Source organism: Homo sapiens, chromosome 11 (genome assembly GCF_000001405.40).
Source record: "Homo sapiens chromosome 11, GRCh38.p14 Primary Assembly".
Taxonomy (NCBI): domain Eukaryota; kingdom Metazoa; phylum Chordata; class Mammalia; order Primates; family Hominidae; genus Homo; species Homo sapiens.
The window spans coordinates 126094317-126115168 of record NC_000011.10 but is presented as its reverse complement, the minus strand read 5'-3'; the positions used below and the strand labels follow the sequence as shown (position 1 = coordinate 126115168).

Below are 20852 nucleotides of genomic sequence, written 5' to 3'. Positions count from 1 at the left end.
CCATGAAACACCATACCCCGAAGTCTTTGGGGCAGATTTTGTGCCTCTGTATTCTGCCCACACCTTCCACGGCGCTTGGGCTGGAGTCCCAGCTGGGGCTATGGAGTAGGGAAGGGAGACCGGGTTCCCCCTTCTCAGGTTAAGGCTTTTCTGTAATGGACAGTTTGCCTCTGCTTCTCTCAAACACCCTAGGGAATTGTGAAGACAGGGTGCAGGCAGGCACTAGGCCCTCCTCTGGGCTCCAGCCATCTAGAGCTCTTATTTGCTCTGAACTTTCCTGATAGTGTTTGGAGAAGCAACTGGGATTGTCTGGGTCCTCCTTCTACCCCATCACTCCACCACCCACCTCTGCCCCCATCATCCCCCACCCCCACCACACACACCCAGACTTCTGCCACTGAAGCTGCCTCTTCTGCTGGTGTGGCAAATAAGTGTGGAGAGAGTGAAACCAGATACAGAGAAGGCAGCCAGCTGGGGAGGTGGTGGGTGGTGTTCTGCCGACCAGGCCTCCTGCTGTCCTCCCCCGGAGCCAGGATGGTGGAGGTCCTGGGCCCAGCCTCGGTCTGCCTTTTCCCCTGCATGCCCAGCTGGTGTGCCACCTGTGAGGGGCTGACAGCTCCTTGCTCCTCCAGTGGTCTTGTCTTGGTCCTGGGTTTGGGGAACAGGATTCCCTGAGCCAGTCCCTCCCTACACTTGGCAGTTACTGGGGAAGCTGAGCACCAAGGCTTGAGCCATTTCTTGCTTTCCCTACCTGTCTCTGTCTCACCTCCATCCACATTCCTTGCAACATGGTACCAAAGTAAGGCTTTGAACTTGGGATGAGTGGGGTGAATTTCACTCTTCCCAACAGCAAAAATGGAAGCTAATCTGGTTTCATCTCAGTTTGTAAGATCCCTAGATTCCCAAGGGAGCTGGGAAACCTCACTTGGGTCTAAAAGGTCATTTAAGGGCCGCTTCCAGACCTGGCTCATGCTCCCGATTGGTGGTGGGGGGTGGAGGGGTGCTGGCTGGGATTGTGGTCACTGAAGAGGGTCAGGAGCAAGGGTCATTGGGTAGAACGGCTCCCTTTGTCCCACTAGGCCACGAATTGGTTCTGGCATTCCCAAGGGGAATGCTCCAAGCCAAGTAAGGGCCACTGTGTCCAGGTGGACCATTCCCAAACCCATTTCTATCATGGATCATTTTCCAGAAACTTTCCAACATGGGAAATCACAACTGAAGCTGGTTGTTTAGATCGGAAAATCTGGGTGTAGTGTCATTAGAAAAACCAGAGTCTCCTCACATGAACCTTTGCCTGCAACCTCTCCCTGGCCTGCCTGCTGCTCTCTGCCTGAGTCACAACAGCATTCAACAGCTTGGACACAGAGCTTTACAATGTGCCAAGTGCTCCCACGTGCCCTGTGGCATTTACTCCGCCTAGCAGCCTGGAGAGATAAGTTAGTGTTAGCTCCACCCAGCAGAGGATGGAAGCCCTGGGAAGTCACCGGCCTCACTGAGGTTGTACAGGCAGTAGGTGGCAGGACTTGAAATCTCGCGTCCTTTCCACGGAATCTTTTCTGCCAGCAACCCAGAGAGTGCAGGGGGAATCCAAACAGTCTGGTGGGCACCAACTGTCTTGGCTGGCTTCCAGCTGGGCCTTTAGTGGTGACTTTGGCACGCCCGCCCCCCCCAACCCTCTGTCAATCTTTAGGAGCTGGGGGAATAGGGGGTGCTTTCTAGGAGGCTCTGCTCTCTTCTGAGATGTCCCCCTTACTTCCTTCCATTCTCTCAGGTGTGGGAGTCACTTTTCTGTGTGAATACCAGGCCAAACTTGTCCTTTTCTTCCTTTTCTCAGAGTCACCTGCCCCAAAGCGCCCCTGTTCCTCCCTCCCTTCTCTGCCTCTTCCCCCGGGATACCTTGCCCTTGCTTCGGGAGTGGAGGCAGTGTTGCCCCAGCAGAGGCACCGGCACTGCCAGGGTGTCCAGCTTTGCACACGGCCTCAGGCGCCCTCACGTTAGCTTTGGCTTCTTGATGGATCTTGAACTCCCTTGGGATGCTTTGTGGGCTCCTGAAGGACCTCCCAGGATGTCCCCTCTGTCCTCAGACCTGCTATGTGACCTCAAACAGGAATTCAGACTCTTCTTGGCCTTCGCGTTCCAGAGCAGAAGGATATGGGTGCCCAAATCCAGACTCGGAGAGGCAGGAGTGAGGTGAGAGGCACAAAATACACCTTTTTTTTCCTGAGCAAAAATCTGCCTCAGGTCCACTCGTTTCCCAAGGGCAGCCGTGCCTTTCACCCGACAACCCGAGGACCCGCAGCCCCAGCCTCTCGGGGAAGGTGAATGTGCAAAAGCCAAGTTTATCCTGAGTAATGCAACGAATACACTGGAGGGGGTGGGGCCGCGGAAGGTTTTATCCAGAACACATGTTATTGCCACTATTCTAGTTATCTTGGATATTTCCTGCATGTTTGTCACCATGGCAACTGACAGCATGAAGCCTGTTTGCTGGGCCCTGGGGTCTGGCGCGGCAGCCATGTGGTGTCAATTTGGCCCTCTCTGCTTCCCCCAGCTCCTGTCTCTCTGTCATGCTGCTTTTGGTCTCCGCCTCTGTCTCCCCGCCGCCTGTCTCTGGGCTTCTCTGTTTTCTTCTTCCAGGAAATAGCTGCCCCTGCATCCCTCGGTGACATAGGTATAGACAGTGTCCAGCTACTGCCACCCTAAGCCTCCCCTTAGTCCACACAGACAGTCTGTGACTAAGGGTGTTCCAGAATGGATGGGAAACTTGTGTGGCAGGGGATAGGCAAGAGATTGGCCTTCAGTGGAGAAAGGGCTCAGCCCGGCTCTGGGCTCATGGTTCAAAATGAGCCCATGCTACCTACTGCTAGGCTGGGGGCTAAAGATCCCTTGAGAAGGTGGGTTTGGGAGACACCAGTGAGGAGAGATGTGGGCTTCTCATCCTGATGTTTCCTGTGTGTGGGAGTGAGGGGTCTCCATCACTCAGATCCTTCCTTCCCTAGGCTTTTGGAGAAGACATAGGTAGAATGGCAGAGAGGGGTCTCAAATTCACAGAAGAGAAGCCAAGGAGAGAGGAGCTTGACAGCTAAGGGGCAGTGAGGTCTCTCGGCATTATGGGCTGCCTGGGGACCTCAAATCCCCAGTCCTTTCTCCCAGGTCTCTGGGATGTGGCAAGGACAGGGTGTGGCAAAGACATGGCCAATGGCAGTGTCCCTCCATGGGGACACCAGGCAACAGGGAGGGTGTTGACAATAATAGCCTGCGAGGGAGCTGTGCCAGCAGCTTGGAAAAAGCACCGCGAGCAGACAGGCGACTCCATGGGAGATGAGGGCATCTTCTGGCCCCTCTCTCCACCCCCAGGTCTGGCTTCCCTTCATTCTGGGAAGCCCAGGACTGGGCAGTTGCCAGCCACTCTGCTTCAAGTTTTCTGCATCCACACTGCAGAGGCCTTCCCAGGCCACCTTCCCAACCTCTACATCTGTCATGTGCTGTTTCTTATCATGCCCAATCCCCAGTCCCCACGCAAGGTAGGCCTGGAAATTGTCATGCAGCCAGAGCCCCAGGCAGGGCTGGCACCCACTGCGGGACTGCTTGGAGGAGAGAGGAGGGGCTAGGGAGGTGGAGTAGGGTCCAGAACCTGCCCTGGCCACAGCTCCTGCAGGCTCAGCTCCAAGGCATGAGGGAGTCTGGAGTGAGACAGGAGAGCTGGGGCGAGGCAGCCATCATGCTGGGCCCTGAGAGGACCGGCCCCGGGGCCAGCAGCCCAGAGGGTGCTGCAAATCAGCCTTCTTTTGGGTCAGCATCATTCCAAGGAGGTCCAATTCTCTGGATGGGACAGGGCATTGGGAAAAGTCAAAGGGCAGCCGCAGTGTGGCTCTGGGGCTCAGTCCCTTGCGTGCAGGGACCCTGTGGGTTCTGGGAGCCACAAGGGCCAAGGGAAGGGACTGCCAAGAATTGGGTGGTGTGGTGGGGCTCGAGTCGTATTGGAAATGCTGGAGTCTGAATGTTTGTGTCTCTCCAGAATTCATGTGTTGAAACAAAATCCCCAGTGTGATGGTATTGGGAGGTGGGGTCCCTGGGAGGTGATTAGGTCATGGAGGCAGAGCCCCTGGGAATGGGGTTAGTGCACTTATGAAACAGGCCCCAGAGAGCTGCCCTGCCTCCCTTACCATGTGAGGATATAGCAAGAGGCCACCATCTATGAACCGGGAAATGGGCCCTCACTAGACACTGAGTCCCTTTCACAGGAGGCTACACAAGCCTGACTGAGCGGGGCTCCATTGGGCTGATGAGGGAAAGGAAGCTCTCCCTCCCAAAGCTCTGGAAGATACTGAAACCCAGGCAAAGAGACAACCCAAGGCTGCTGTGTTGTAGAGGAGAGTCACCAAGGACCCCGGGACCCAGAGTGTGGAGGGCATAGATGCAGGACGCAGGTAGCAAGAGCCAGTGTGCAGCCTTGGATGGTGCCAGAGAGGCCTGTGCATTGGACAGATAGCTGAGAGGGGCAGCAAGCGTTCTGGGCAGGCGTCAGGCAGGCTTTGCTCAGGGAGGCTGGCTTTGACCTACTTGTGCCTGTGGAGCTGGGCATGGAGCTGCCAGTGGGCCAGACTGGGAGAGACATGCCAGGTCACCCCAGCCTCAGGGACAGTCCCTCTTTCCAGTGCCAAGGGTCCAGCCAGAGTCTCCAGCTTTACTCAGAGTCTAAGGCAGTAGACGTTAGTCCTCACACTGCTCTGTTACCCAGAATGAGTCAATGACCTTCTATGGGCCTCTGTTTTCTGTTTGACTAATGAGGCTGGGGCGAGAAAGAACTGAGTTGCAGAGGAGGGAGTGGGTGCCCCTAGAGAAGGAGGTGGGCCTTGGAGGCTGAGAAGGGCAGTGAGGTTTGAGACGGCTGCAGAGGGCTCCAGAGACAGGCCTCCAGCTCACACCTCGAGGGCGAAGAGATTCTTCTGGAGTGGAGAGGAAGAGCCTCTGCACCCATCCCCATCCTCCCAGTCCTCCCCACGGAGACCACAACTCAAGACCCAGCTGTCCCCTCCCAGTGACTCAGGCTTTGGCTGCCCTCCTGCCCACATCCAAGCCCTGTCCAGTGCCCCATAACAGGAAGGGCTGTGGTGTGAGAGAGGAGGAGGGAAGGCTGCCCCGCCAAGGGCCTTCATGTCCAAGGAGCCATCTAGGTGGAGGAGTCCTTTGCACCCTCCTGGCCGTGTCACCCTCTGCCACCTCAGAAATGTGGGTTTGGCCTGAGGTGGGACTCTGTCCTCCTCCCTCTGCACTGAGCATGGAAGGCCACTTGTTTCTCATTAGCAAACTGCAGGATGTCACCACCATAGGGTGGATGTGCATTTTTGTCCTCTTTGCTGGAACGGTGGGGTGTGTGGGCTGAGCCAGGGACAGGGCAGAGGCGGTCAGAAGAGCTGACCAGAGCCTTGTGGGACCCAGGGCAGGGGCTGTGGTTATATGGGGCAAAGCTATTTGGAGGCCACAGGACACCACTGTCCCTGCTAGAACCAAGGGCAGCTATGCTAAGATTTGGAGAAGAGGGAAAGGCAGAACCAATGGCACTGTGGTTGTGATTTTTGGCAATAATTGTGGGCATTGATAATCATAACGGTAGCATTCATTTATTGAGGACCAGCCAGTGCTAGGTGGTTCATATATATTATTTCTTTAATTCTCTCAATAACTCTGTTTTACAGATGAGAAAACTGAGGCTCAAAAGGGTAAATAAATGACCTAGTTTTCACAGCAATTAAGCATTCAAACCAAGATCTGCACCCAGGTTGTCTGATATTTATGACTTTTCTTTCATTATGCCACATTGCCTCCTCTAGCCCAGTTGTTTTTTTTTTGTTTTTTTTTTTTTTTTTTTGAGACAGTCTCACTCTGTCCCCAGGCTGGAGTGCAGTAGCGCAATCTCAGCTCACTGCAACCTCTGCCTCCTGGGCTCAAGCGATTCTCCTGCCTCAGCCTCTTGTGTAGCTGGGATTACAGGCACCTGCCACTACATTCAGCTAATTTTTGTTTTTTCAGTAGAGACAGGGTATTTTTTGTAATTTTGTATTTTCAGCATGTTGGCCAGGCTGGTTTCAAACTCCTAACCTCAGGAGATTTACTTGTCTTGGCCTCCCAAAGTGCTGGGATTATAGGCATGAGCCACTGGGCCTGGCCTCTAGCCCGGTTCTTCATCTTTTTGTGCCATGGATGCAGTCCGAAGTCCATGGGCCCCTTCCTAGAATAATTAAAAAAAATAGATTAGATTTACAAAGGAACCCAATTATATTAAAATGTGGTTATCAAAACATTAAACACATGTGTGATATAGTAATATATGTGCTTTTTAACTAACACATGAAATAACAAGATTTCTGCCAGGCACGGTGGCTCACGCCTGTAATTCCAGCACTTTGGGAGGCCAAGGCGGGTGGATCACCTGAGGTCAGGAGTTCAAGACCAGCCTGGCCAACATGGGGAAACCCTGTCTCTACTAAAAATATGAAAATTAGCTGGGCGTGGTGGCAGGCACCTATAACCCCAGCTACTCGGGAGGCTGAGGCAGGAGAATTGCTTGAATCCGGTGGGCGGAGGTTGCAGTGAGCCAAGATTGTACCACTGCACTCCAGCCTGGGCGAAAGAGAAAAATTCTGTCTCAAAAAGAAAAAAAAAAAAAAGAAAGAAAGAAATAAGATCTAATAACTACCATAATTTCAAAATAGTGATGAATGTAAATACTATTTTGTATTATCAGCAAAAGCTGTAATGTGATTTTTCTTAACCTTTCTTTTTTTATTGTTATACTTTTTTCTGGGGTACATGTGCAGAACGTGCAGGTTTATTACATAGGTATACACGTGCCATGGTGGTTTGCTGCACCCATCAATCCATCATCTACGTTAGGTATTTCTCCTAATGCTACCCCTCCCCTAATCCCCCACCCCATGACAGGCCCCAGTGTGTGATATTCCCCTACCTGTGTCCATGTGCTCTCATTGTTCAACTCCCACTTCTGAGTGAGAACATGTGGTGTTTGGTTTTCTGTTCCTGTGTGAGTTTGCTGAGAATGATGCTTCACCCGTGTCCCTGCAAAGAACATGAACTCATCCTTTTTTATGGCTGTATAGTATTTCATGGTGTATATGTGCCACATTTTCTTTATCCAGTCTATCACTGATGGACATTTGGGTTGGTTCCAAGTCTTTGCTATTGTGAACAGTGCTGCAGTAAACATACGTGTGCATGTGTCTTTATAGTAGAATGATTTATAATCCTTTGGGTATATACCCAGTAATGGGATTGCTGGGTCAAATGGTATTTCTGGTTCTAGATCCTTGAGGAATCGCCACACTGCCTTTGGCAATGGTTGAACTAATTTACACTCCCACCAACAGTGTAAAAGCATTCTTATTTCTCAACAGCCTATTTATCAAACAGTTGTTTCCTGACTTTTTAATGATTGCCATTCCCATTGAAAAGCTGTAATGTGATTTATATTGGTAACAATGTCATAAGTACTGACAATGCCTATATTCTTAATTGAAGGAAATATTTAAGTTAGACAGTAGTGAAAATGAAGGTGTACGGATTTTCCCATCTGAGGTCACAGACCCCTGAACTCTATCTATGGGCTCCAGGTGAGGAAAGTTGCTACAATTTGTGTGCAGCTATTGGGTGGGTTCGTTGGAAACCCTCTCTTTTTTGTCTGGTTGGAGGGAGTGTGCAAACCACTTCCAGTGTGGGGAACGCTGTGCCAGTTGGGGACATCTTGAGTGAGTCTATGCCCCACCGACTCTGTCCGTGCCTTACCTGGGATTTAAGTTGCCAGATTTAGCAGACAAAATGACAGAAGACCCAGTTAAATTTGACTGATGCTTTTTCAGTCCATGTCCTGTGCGATATTTGAGACATACTCACTGTATTATTTTTCTATTGCTCTGTAACAAATGACCACAAACCGAACAGCCTAAACACAAATTCCATAGCTGGAAGTTCTGCACGTCAGCATGGCTCAGCCGCGTCCTCCGCGGAGAGTCTCACAGGCTGCAGTAGAGATGTCCAGGGGCTGCGCTCCTTTCTGGAGGCTCTGGGATGTGTCGGCTCCCAGCTCATTCAGGTTGCTGGCTGGATTCATTTTCTTGTGGTTGGAGGGCTGAGGTCCCTCTTTGCTTGCTGCCTCTCAGCTGAGGCTGTTCTCAGCTTCAGAGGCCATCCACATTCCTGGCCAGGTGTCTCCAAGCTATCTCCAAAAGCACGTTTCTCATCTCTGACTTCCCCTCCACCCCGGCCAAAGAAAACTGCTCTTGAAGGATTCCTGAGATCATAGTAGGCTCCTCCGGGTCATCTCTCTTTTGTCACATGACATAACAATCGCACTAGTAACGGCCAGAAACAAGAGTCATGGGACTGCCCTACAAGTCTGCTTGCCACTTACACTAAACACGTATGGGCTGCTTCTCTGAAATGAAAACTGCACTTGCCATCCCTGCTGGGATTAGATGCGCTGTGGACCTTGCCTCATGACCTGGGGCAATTCTTTTCTCGTCTGGCCCTCAGTTACCCCCTCAGACAACTCCACTGAATTATTTAAAATCTGCATGTATGGACTGGGCACCAGCCACCACGGGGCATGACATGTACATGACCCTTTTTCTGCCTTTAGGGTCTCACAGTCTAAAGGTGGAGACTGAAATACACATAAGCAAAAGGCTGAGAAATACGGTGCCAGGCTGGGCACAGTGGTTCACCCCTGTAATCCCAGCACTTTGGGAGGCTGAGGTGGGCGGATCACTTGAGGCCAGGAATTTGAGGACAGCCCGGGCGACATGGCGAAACTCCATCTCTACTAAAAAGACAATAATTAGCCAGGTATGCCACCTGTAGTCCCAGCTACTTGGGAGGCCGAGGGGAGGGGATCACTTGAGCCTGGGAGGTGGAGGCTGCAGTGAGCTGAGATCCCACCACCGTACTCCAGTCTGGGCAATTGAGCGAGAACCTATCTCAAAAGAAAAAAAAAAGAAAAGTGGCCTGATGGCAGAGATGGGGGCTGAGGGTGAGGAGACGGATAATCAACAGGCCATGGAGAACAGCAGAGGGAGGGAGAGTGGCTGCTATTCAACTGGAGAAGGGACAGAGGGGAGACTGGAACAGCTCGCAGGTGGGTGTGATTAGGACAGAACCTCAAGACTTGGACAGGAACAAGTGGGGAACAGCAACAGCGAAGGCCCGGTGGCGAGGGGTCCTGGTTCCCCCTGGGAGTGGTATATGCAGCCGAAGGATAGGGTGCCTGGGGCCTGGGAGTGTGGGGAGAAAGGAGGAGGGGACACAGTTCTGAGAGAGAGGTGGGGCCGGCCCGGAGGCCTCAATAGCTGCAGGAGCAGGAGGGTGCGAGAGTCCACGATGGCCACGGTGCTCACGTGGGAACAGAGCCACTGCAGCAAGGATACAGCTTCCTCGGCTCTGGCAGGAAATAAGGTCCTGTGGACCAGGCAGTTGGGAGACAGTCTTAAGTGGTGGACAGAGCTCTGGCCAGAGACAGGAGTCCTGGGTGCTGGCTTTGCCAGTTACTCATGGCGGGACTCTGGGCATGCTTGGAACATGGGAGTCCCATCTGGGAGCCAGTGTGCTTGGAGCAGAGCAGGCAAGTGGCACAGTGCGTGCAGCAATCACACAGGGCCTCGTGGGCCACTAACAGGACTCTGGCTTGTATCCTGGGAATGGCTGCCTTTGAGCAGAGCCCTACATGAACTGATTCAAGCTAAATGGAGAATTGCAGCTGCCCCGTGAACAGCCCATGTGCCCAATGCTGCCGGGCAGCCCGAGTGGAGCGCGAGAACTGCACCAGACGCTCCCTACCCCAGAGACTTGCCGCGCACCTGGGAGAAGCCACAGGGCAGTGTGTGTAGTGCTCAGAGCCAGGGCTTTCAAAACGGAAGATCCCAGCTCTGTGGGCTTGATGGCCTCAACAGTGACATGGTGCTGGTAGCACCCTACATGGTTGGGTTATGGTGCATGACAAATTGCCTGCACAGAGTAGGCACTGAAAATAATAGTAGCTAGTTATTTACATAATAATACAGGGTAGCAGAGCTCCTCATGAGAGGTGCAGGTGCTGGTGTTGGTGGTGCCGGAGGGACATAGGCTAACCTCCAAAGATGGCAGGACCTGGAGTCTCAGGTAGATGAAAGAGGAATGGGAGACGGAGCCCCGGACCTGGCAGGAAGAAGCGCAGTGCGTTCTCCACAGAGACACGAGGGTGAGGCCAGCATGAAATCTCAAATGGAAGCCTCCAGAAGCTGGTGGGGGTTGGGGGGAGATGCAGGAGAGGGCATGGACCGGTGCAGAATTAAGCTGGTGAGGAGGCCAGATTCTGAAAAGCATGAATGTGAGTTGTCTAATTGGAGGTGACAGGGAGTGGGAGAGGGACCAGAGGCAGTGGGAGGGAGAGCATGACAGACCCACAGCTGGGCTCAGCTCTTTCCCATCCCCGAGAAGAGTGGGAGGGGTCAGAGGAGGGGACCTCAGCAGGTGTCCAGGCATCCGGGAGCCCGGACTGCTATGCAGGAGGAGGTAGTCCTGTTTCTTCTGAAACCTGATCTTTCAGGCAGCTGTCCCCCTCAGCCTGACAGAGCAGGGCACATTCTTTCCCCAGGCATCATTCTCACCGGCCTCCCCCAAGGCTGGCTCTTTGAAAAGACAGAGCCCGGTTGGGGAAAGGAATGGAAATGGCAGGGCCCCCACGCATGTCCCAGGGAGCCCCTGAGGGGAAGTGCCCCTCTGGTGCAGGCAGCCCCTGACTTTCTCTCTTCCCACCTTAGAGTCTGCAAGCAGAAAGCCAAGGCCTCTACATTTGGGTCTGTGCAGCCTCTTAGGCTCTAGGCCAGTGATTCCCAGCCTGGACTTACCCAGTTCCTAAATGTCCCATAGGTAGCAAAGGAGGTTGGAGAGCTATTTTAGTGTTTATGAAAAATCTCCTAGAAATCATATATTTCTGCACTAGAGCTAATTTCTAGTCATTCTTCTGATAACAGCGTCAATGGCAACCCTCTAGGAAGCTTTCCTACCTGTGTGAGTCAGGTAGGTTCCCAGCCGGAACAGTCGAGTCCTGCAAATGGGGTAACTGAGGAGAGTTTAAGAAGGGACTATTGACAATGTGTTTGGCTGGATTAAAGGACACCAACAAGGGGTGATGAAACAGCTAGCAGCAGCAGCTCAAGTCCTCGTTCCACCATAAGTCCACAGGAACAAGGGAAGGGGGTAGCTACCAGAACTTTGCAAGACCTATAGCTGTAAGAAGGGGCCTCCTGACAGGCTCTGTGGCCTTCAGTAGAGGACCACAGCCACAGCAGCCCCAGATCCATGGTGGCTGATCAGGGAGGAAGCTGACCTCCTCCCCCTCCTGCCAGGGAATCCCACTGGCAAAAACTCAACTGGAAGAGACAGGGCAGAGGAGGGCGGTTGGCACAGTCCTTCGAGTGAGCCTGGGGCATGCAGCAGGGTGGGTGCAGGTGCAGAGTGCGTCTGGAGGGACAGAAGGAGAACATCTAGCCCACCTCCCAAGGCTGTGACCCCGGAACCCTGTGCTTGCCTGGTATGTAATGCTGTATTGTGATTGGCTGTTTCCTTGTCTGTATCTCCTCCAAGACTCAACTCTCCTGGAGGGCAGGGGCTGTGCTTTGTTCACACATACTCAATAAACTCCATTGGGTAAAATAAATAACAAGGCTGCTCAGATTCACCGTAACATCACATTTCTCTGCTTGGGATGCAATTAAATCATCTCCATGTGGAAGCAGCGGTTATCTTCTGCCATCAGCAGCTTCGGATTACCAGGTCTGTAGGCCCAACTAATAAAACACAAGCCAGCAAAGTTAATTAGTCATTTAATGAATTCAATTTGTCTAGCAGACAAAAATCCTTCAACACAAGTCATGAGGCGAGAGTGAGAACAATAAAAGGAGTCCTCCCTGCTGAAAATCTCTGAAAACACCCCCTCAGCCATGAGGGCTGGGCTATTTCGAGGGTGTTCACATTTCTTGTGTAACTCAGAGCAGGCCAAAGTATGGTTCTCCCAGGCCAACCAAGCCCTCAATTTCAAATACATCTTTGTGGAGGAGCCCCTATGGGTCTGCCTGCCTCTCTCGGTCTCTGCTGCCCCTATACAGCCCGGGCCACCAATCGATACCTCCAAGCTATCCGCTGCCTAAGAAGCACCAAGAGTCTCACCACCTTCCACCCCTGGCCAGCCTCACCTCCTTTCTTCTCTTTGCCCAGTACCCCAGATCTCATCATGCTTCTGCTCAAAACCTCATAATAGCTTCTGGTTTCACTTAGAAGGCAGTCCACGTTCCTTATCCGGCTGGGCTCCTCCCCACCCACTTCACAGTTGCACTTGGGCTGTCAGCCAGGACTGTTTCCCTGCCTCCTGCTCCTTGCTAGGACTGCGGGTCTCAGTTTCAATGTCATTTACTCAGAGGAGCCTTCTCAGAGTCTCCTGTTCTGTTCTCACGATGGCCTGTGCTTTTCCACCTCAGTGCTCAGTACAACTGGGAAAATTCACTGCAACTCATTGTGCGATTAAACAGGGCCTGCCTGTCCATGCTGCTGCGAGCTTAGTGACAGCAGGTACCTGGACTGCTTTCTCAACTGCTGGATCCCCAGTGGCCTGGTCAGTTACCTTCACTACACATTTGTTGGACAAATAACAAAGTAAAGGTCTTTCCTGGAATGCCAACAAGCTTGCTGGGGAGACAAAAGCTGACATATAAAACTCTTCAGAACAGCACAGGGTGATTTGGGTATAGCTATCTCCAGATACCTTGGCCCTTGTTCTTGGAGTTTTAGGAATTCAGAGAAAGGAAGAAAGGATCTGAAGGACCTAGTGAAGACTCTCCTTGAGGCCACTCATTTCAGGGAAGCGAAGGGAAGAGGGTGGGAGAAGTAGCTTTTGTTGTGTACCCAACAGACCAGAAATCTATAATACAATATCTTTTTCAAGCCTCATGATTGGCTGAGTTTTACAAATGAGGAAATTAAGGACAGAGAAGTAAAGTAAGTCATCCAAGGTCACACAGCAAGGAGGTGGCAGAGCCAAGAATCGACCCAGGCGGGTCAGATTCAAGCTTGCGTTCCTGTCACTAGGCATAGGACAGGAAGTGGGGTGGTAAGATGTCACCCCTAGGCCAAGGGGGCAGTGGTTTAAATGGGGGCTCAGGTCAGAAAAGCATCCTATCTATGGTAATGCGGGAACCTGGCTTTGTTCTGATACTGAACTCAGATCTGAGACGCCACCCAGGTGTATGTTATATGGGTTCTGAGAGGTCCAGCAGCAAGCAGGGCAGTTGGGCCCACCCCAGAGCAGCTGTACGCCCTTGGAGATGGCCTGAAATTGGCCAAGCTCTGGAATGAGGGTCTGGGCATTGCTCCCAGCATCTGACCTTGGAAGGAAGCAGAAGCAGAGCTGTGGTTTTGAAGATTTTCCTTCCCCAACGGAGACCCATTGCAGCCTGTTATGAAGGACCCAGCACAGGTAGAGAGAGCCAACAAGGTGGAATGGGGGGCTCTGGCTTGGTGAGATGGGGGAGGAGAAAGAGGGGTCACTCCTGCCAAGCTGACCTCAGCTGGGTAATGTGATCAGCCTGTCATGGTTCTGAGCCCTGATTTGGGAAGAACAAAGAGGCCAGGCCCCTCTGCCTCCTCTAGCCCAGGAATGCAGCTGGGGGCCAGGCCGTGACCAATGGGGAATGCAGGTTGGGAGCGCAGCGAATGCAGTTTGTAGAGCAAGGCTTTCATGCACTGATGGGAGCCCCACTCACAAAGCCAGGCTGACATGCCCCCGCGCTTCCAACTTTGATATCCCAGCCCCGCCTTGGGGGAGCCGCACATCCCCAAGCTGTCTGTGCCCAACTGCCCCGCTGTGGCCCTCGAGTGATGATGGGGTGAAGAGTGGAGAGCTCAGATCCCAACTCCCCTCAACCCCACCAGGATTCCTAGACACCAACATCTCCTTGTCCGTCTCTCTCCACCTCGGGATGTCTGAGGAATGGACAGGGGGAAACAGCCTCCAGCTCCTGAGGGCTGAGAGAGATGGATGGAGAGACAGAAAGATGGACCACGAGAGAGGCCGCGGGCCTCAGGCAGCCCCTGCTCTGAGCAGGTCACAGAAACTCCTTGAGGCCACCCACTCCAGGGAAATGAATAATGTTAGAGGTGGGGGTTTCACTCCTGGCTTGGACATCTGAATACTTTCTGCATTCCAAAGCTGCTAGCTCCCCTTCTCCAGCCCCAGTCTCTTTTCCCACTGGCCGATTCACTCAGTGTGGGGTCCTTCAGGACTGCCCTTTTCTGCCTTCTCAATTATCCACTGCCCCCTCCCTCCTGGTGTCTCTGTGCTCCTGCGCTTCCTCTCCTCCTGGGTGTTAATAATGACAGTGCTTTACAGTTTACAAAGCACAATCACCTGCAGTAACTCGTTTGATTCTTATAGGAGCCCTGTGCAGCAGGGACTCTGATCCTCATTGCATGCAGGAAGAGAAGAAGGAAGAGGAGGTGGAGGCTTGATGAGGAGGTGGTGGCCTGTGATGGCAAGAGTGAGATGGGGAGAATGTCCAGCGGGAGAAGTAAGGGCCAGGAGCTTGAAGGAACTGTGAAATAAAGATATTTCACCTTGAATGTATCCATGTTTGCCTGCTTTATCCTGGCTCCCTGAGGAAAGTTTGCTCTCATAAAAAGACCTGAAAAACACACTGAAATGCAAATGACTGAGGACAGCTTTCAAATGGTGCCTCTCAAAGAAGGTAGTTCTTTATTACAAATGCAATCTCGGCGAGGAGATGCTGGAGAATCTCTACCTTTAGAAGAGTCAATCAAGTCAAGAAGATGGAGCAAAGGGCTTCCCAGAAAGGTCCTTGGCCTTCCAAGAGTTCAAAGAGTCCCAGCCAGAATTCATAGAGAGGTGAATGTGAGAAAAGAAAGCCCCGAGTCACTCTGATTTCCTCTCCCAGCGACCCAAAACATTAGAAGCAGAGGCACCTTACAAATGATCTAGACCTTTGGTTAAAAACGAGATTCTCTATTGTCTCTGCCACTTGCATTCTTTCAGGCCCTCTGGCAGCTCCTAGGTTTTTGTCATCCCAGTTTCCTAATGAGAAAACAGGGCTTCCCTCTCCTGGATTCAGTGAGAACATTCCCAGCAAAGGATTCTGCATTGGTCCAGCTTAAGGGGTGCCCACCACCCCAGGACCAAGCACGGCAGCCCCGCAAATAGAAGACCCGGTGGATGCCTGGACTACAGGGTAAAGGATGCTGACAAGGAGAGGGTTCCCCGTGAGGAAAACATCACAGACACCACCCCTGGGTGGCTAATGAGCTGGGCAACCACCCCAAGTTGAGTCACTACAAAGGGAACTTTCGCTACAGCATTGTTTGTAATAATGAAATTTTATAAACTATCCACACGTTTATCAACAGGGAAACAAGTGAATACATTGGGATGCCTCTTAGGAAATTCTATGCAGCCGTGGAAAAGATTGAGGTAGAACTGTACATCTCTAGATGAAAAATCTCTATAATATAGTAAGTTTTTTTAAAAAGCATGCTTCAGTCATCCGGGCGCAGTGGCTCATGCCTGTAATCCTAGCACTTTGGGAGGCCGAGGTAGGCAGATCATGAGGTCAGGAGTTCAAAACCAGCCTGGCCAACATGGTGAAACCTCGTTTCTACTAAAAATACAAAAAATTAGCCGGGCGTGGTGATGGGCCCTTATAATCCCAGCTACTCAGGAGGCTGAGCCAGGAGAATCGCTTGAACCTGGGAGGTAGAGGTTGCAGTGAACCAAGATCACACCATTGCACCCCAGCCCAGTGACAGTATAAGACTCCGTCTCAAAAAAATAAATAAAAATAAAAAATAAAAAAGCTTGCTTCAAGGCAGTCTGCACAGTATCATCTCATTTATGTAAAATGAAGCAAAATAAAAGCCTATGTTTTTATAGATTTATGGACAGTATTTAAAATTCATTCTTTAAAAGCTTGAAGGGCTATACACCTCTATATTCATGGTTTTTTTAAATTTTTAACAAAGGCATATATTGCTTTTGTATTAAAAAATGAATAGAAATGAAAAGGAAAAAGTCTAATGCTTGTATTTTGTGCTAAGGAATACGCAGTACAAAGAAATTAAATGACCGGCACAAGATCATATGCAGAAAAATAAGTGATATTTAGACCCCGATCTTCTAACCGCCCAGGAGGTGGACTTTCTTTAAGCATCCGTCTGGTCTAGGTGCAGGGATGGGAGGGTCGTGAGGCTGCCAGGGGAACCCAGGCCACATGGCAGCAGGGATGTGTCTGTGAGGAAGGAGCAAAGCCTGAAGTTGAGGAAAGGAGTGGGTGTTGATCCTTTCTGCATCTTCCTGATGCCAGGGCCTCTTCCTATCACTCCCTGCTCTGCAAGCTTACACTGGCCAGAGGACACAGACATCTGAGGGCCAGGAATGGGTTAAGCCAGAACCTTCTCTGGAGAGGAAAAGGCCTTACTCTCCTGGAACATGGAAGGAGCTCAGTGGCTTCTCACTCCTGAGAAGTGAAGAGGCTCAGGTCTGAATCAATTAGAGTCTCTATCTAAAATGTAAACCAGGTTCCCAACCAAACGCCCCTTTTCCCTCATCCTGGTCTTGTAGTCTCATGAAGAAAAAGAGAACCTTTGGAACTGGTGCCCTTTGGAGGCCACAGCTGTTTGCTCCGTGGGGGCCCTGCCCTGAGGAGAGTGCTGGCAGCTCCGCCAGTCCCCTTCCTCACTCTCACGTTCCACTGACACAAACCCACCAGCAACCCGATGCCCAGGCTAACTCCTCCTCACTCCAGAGCCTCTGCCCAGCACCCTAGGCCTCTGATAGGAGTCATGCGGGGGAAATTTGGGGAGTAGAAGCCCCCAGCACTAATCTCAAACGCCTAAGATGCCCCCACCCCTACCATGTCTTCACAATTCAGGGTACCCAGATTTCTAGTGTCCCTCCAGCCAAACATGGTTTTGATTCCATTACCCTCTCCACTGTTTCACATTTTCTGGATACCCTCCTGGTCTCTGCACCATAAGCTTCCCTCCTGATCATTCCCTGATATGCTGTCTCTTTAGCTAGTCTCGCTTGCTCTGAAATCTGATGTGAAGGCAATTCTGTTCCAGTATTTTCTGGCTAGGTGACCTTATAGCACTTATGGCAAATTTATTTTTTAGGGACAAATAATAATTGTGTGTATTTATGGGGTGACAACTTTCTTAATATTCCTGTCTGGGCTTCAGTTTCTCATAAGAAGGGAATTAAAGTGAGGAATAACTGAAGCAACATATTGCAGCCCAGGGTGGAGCCAAGTGTCAGGCCCCTTTCCTGGGGCTCCTCTGTGCCTCATTCTGGCAGTCAATGAAGGGAAATAAGGAGCGGAAAACGAGGAAGGAGCTGGGGAGAGGAGACCACGGGGGAGCTGAAACCAGGAGGAAGTGTTTGCTGTGGGAGAAGTCGGGAATTCTGGCTGACAACAAACCTGGAGATGGGCTATTCCAGAGGAGGACGTGGTCCGAGCCATGGACACCAGGCCAGGAGAACAGGCCAGTGCACGGTGAAGCGTACCTTGAACCTGACAGTGGCTGATGTGGCCGAGTGGTGAGCTCTGAGGTTAGATCACCTTAAGCCAAAATGTGAAGCAAAGGTTTTGAAGCCTTGGCTCATGGTGAAAGCAATTTGGGGGAAGTAGTGGGAGAGGAGGGCTCTACCACGTACCACCCACTGTGAGGCCTGGAGCAAGAACTTCTCTAACTTCTCCATCAGAAGTTAGCATAAGGGCTGGGCACCGTGGCTCATGCCTGTAATCCCAGCACTTTGGGAGGCTGAGGTGGGCAGATCACCTGAGGTCAGGAGTTCGAGATCAGCCTGGCCACGGTGGAGAAACCTGTCTCTACTGAAAATACAAAAATTAGGCTGGGCGCGGTGGCTCACGCCTGTAATCCCAGCACTTTGGGAGGCCGAGGTGGGCAGATCACAAGGTCAAGAGATCGAGATCATCCTGGCTAACACGGTGAAACCCCGTCTCTACTAAAAATACAAAAAATTAGCCAAGCATGGTGGCGGGCACCTGTAGTCCCAGCTACTCTGGAGGCTGAGGCAGGAGAATGGCGTGAACTCGGGAGGCGGAGCTTGCAGTGAGCCAAGATTGTGTCAATGCACTCCAGGCTGGGCAACGGAGCGAGACTCCATCTCAAAAAAAAAAAAAAAAAAAAAAAATTTGCTGGGTGTGGTGGCACATGCCTATAATCCTAGCTACTTGGGAGGCTGAGGCAGGAGAATCGCTTGAATCCTGAAGGTGGAGGTTGCAGTGAGCCAAGATCACGCCATTGCACCCAGCCTGGGTGACAGAGCGAGACTCCATCTGAAAAAAGAGAGAGAAGTTAGCATGAGGTGGAAGCCCCAGGCAGCGGCTTGAAACTGTACTCCAAGGAGGAATTCCTGCAACGTGGCCAGGGCTCCATTTCTTCATATTAGGCTTATGGGCCCAAAATATGTTTGAAAACTCCATTGGGTGTACTGAAAACAAGGCCAAATGGTGTGAGAGGAGGTCTGTGTATGAGAAGGGCTCAACGAGAAGGAAAAACATCTAGCGAGAATGAAAATGAAGTAGTCATTAGGACTGGTGATGGAATGACCCAGAAACAGATGATCAAGACCCTTCCAGTCTTGAAATGAAGGCCAAGGTGGGCGAAGAGCACAGGTTCAGGGTCGGATCTCCTGTTTTTTTGTTTGTTTGTTTATTTGTTTTTGTTGTTTTGTTTCGAGACAGAATCTCACTCTGTTGCCCAAGCTGGAGTGCAATGGCACGATCTCGGCTCACTGCAACCTCTGCCTCCCAAGTTCAAGCGATTCTCATGTCTAAGCCTCCCAAGCAGCTGGGATTACAGGTGCCCGCCACGACGCCCAGCTAATTTTTGTATTTTTAGTAGAGATCGGGTTTCACCATGTTGGCCAGGCTAGTCTTGAACTGCTGACCTCAGGTGATCCACCCTCCTCGGCCTCCCAAAGTGCTAGGATTACAGGCGTGAGCTACCGCAACCAGCAGATCTCCTGTTTTGAGTCCTGGATGCAACCATGTGTCTTTGGGGTGGCTCCTTTCTATGCTTCAGTTCCTTTATTTGCAAAGGGAGATTAAAAACTCTGTCCTTATCGGGCTCCATGTAGCTTAATTAGCAAATGCACATAGAGACAGAGACAGTAAGGTATTAACAGAAGGGTTGGGACACAGAAAAGTATAGTCAAGAGGAAAGGCAGAACCAGAGAGGAGCATGGAGAAATGTCAGATCCTAGGCACAGGCAGGGGAACATGTGTAGGTGTGGCCACCTCAAGGACCTTAAACACCAGCTTCCTCCCCTCACCCCAGATCTGTCTCCAGGACAGTGTTGTCAAAGTCACACTCACCCCAGGACAGACATGTGGCCTCCTGCGGGAAGGGTTCTGTTCTCCCTATCCTAGCGCTTTTTTTGTTTTTCTGAATGCTTCTATTTGCTAAACACTGTGCTGAGAGCTTCACATACATTATATTTTATAATCCTCACAATATCCCAGGAAGGCAGATAGGTATGATTTAGTAACTACATTTTACAGATGTGCACACTGCAGCAGTTACATAGCTAGTAATTGAAGCCAAAAATCGAACACAAGTCATTCCAGAACCCAATATTGTTACCATTAGAGGATTCTGCAAGTCCTCCTTCAGGCTGCCCTGGGGCGAGGGAAGGCTCCAAAGGAGAACCCCAAGCATTCACAGTGGCCTCAGCTAGTGTATGATGAGTTTCCATATGCTGAAAATAGTGTCTGGCAGATCATAAAAGCTTGGTAATTATGTATTTATTTTTATTATGATTACTATTATTCTTATATTGGGGCTGTTTCCTGGGAGGCAGTCTAGAACAGTGGAAGTTAAGTTCAAGTACTGGCTTGAACTCCTGGTTAAACATGCCAGATGATGTATACTCTTTAACTCCATTCTTCCTGAAACCCCATTAAAACTAAACTAAAGTGTATTAGTTAGGATTCTCTAGAGGGAAGGACTCATAGGATAGATGTAGATATGAAAAGGAGAATATTAAGGAGTATTGACTCACACGATTACAAGGTGAAGTCCCACAATAGGTCGTTTGCAAGCTGAGGAGCAAGGAAGCCAGTTCGAGTTCTAAAACCTTAAAAGTAGGGAAGCTGACAGTGCAACCTTCAGTCTGTGGCTGAAGGCCAAGAGCCCCTGGTGAACCACTGGTGTAACTCCATGAGTCCAAAAGCTGAAGAACTTGGAGTCCAATGTTTGAGGGCAGGAAGCATCCAGCATGGGAGAAGGATGAAGGCTGGAAGACTGATATTCAATATTAACCATCACATTAAAACACAACAAAAAATATTACAAACTCACAAAAACTACGGGAAAGGAGATAAGAGCAACACAATTCTGGAGGCTAGGAAGCACATTTGACAAGTACCATATTAATAAGTTGGACCTGTCTAAGCAGGCCTGAGAAAGTTCAATCCTAACTCAGACAGGAACATCCTACATTATATCTCAGAAGCCTCAAAGACTCAGGAATGAGCGATATAAGATTCTTCTAGAAAGGAGAGGGGCAAAATTGGCACTGAAAACAAGATTTGTTAAAAGGTTGCTCAAAAAGTGGGTAGATGCCATGTCCTCTCCCCTGCTCCACACTTCCATCCTACCAAAGGCTAGACCTCTGTTCTCTAGAGATGATAAAATAGTTTCAACAGTTTCAATGGGACAGGAGGCACAATTTGCGACACATGAAGACATGGAAGTTAAATGCCAGTTTAGAC

General features: G+C 50.8%; 2 long non-coding RNA genes across 2 annotated transcripts; one reads left to right on the top strand and one right to left on the bottom strand.

Moving 5' to 3' along the window:
• Nucleotides 1–9265: 9265 nt before the first annotated feature.
• On the top strand, nucleotides 9266–14664 carry LOC124902782 (uncharacterized). The gene is made up of 2 exons (XR_007062936.1): nucleotides 9266–10378; nucleotides 11025–14664. It is a non-coding gene; the product is annotated as an uncharacterized LOC124902782 (long non-coding RNA).
• Nucleotides 11728–12613, bottom strand: LOC107984407 (uncharacterized). Its single transcript, XR_001748432.2, has 2 exons — nucleotides 12246–12613; nucleotides 11728–11840 (listed from the first exon to the last, which is right to left on the bottom strand). It is a non-coding gene; the product is annotated as an uncharacterized LOC107984407 (long non-coding RNA).
• Nucleotides 14665–20852: the final 6188 nt, after the last annotated feature.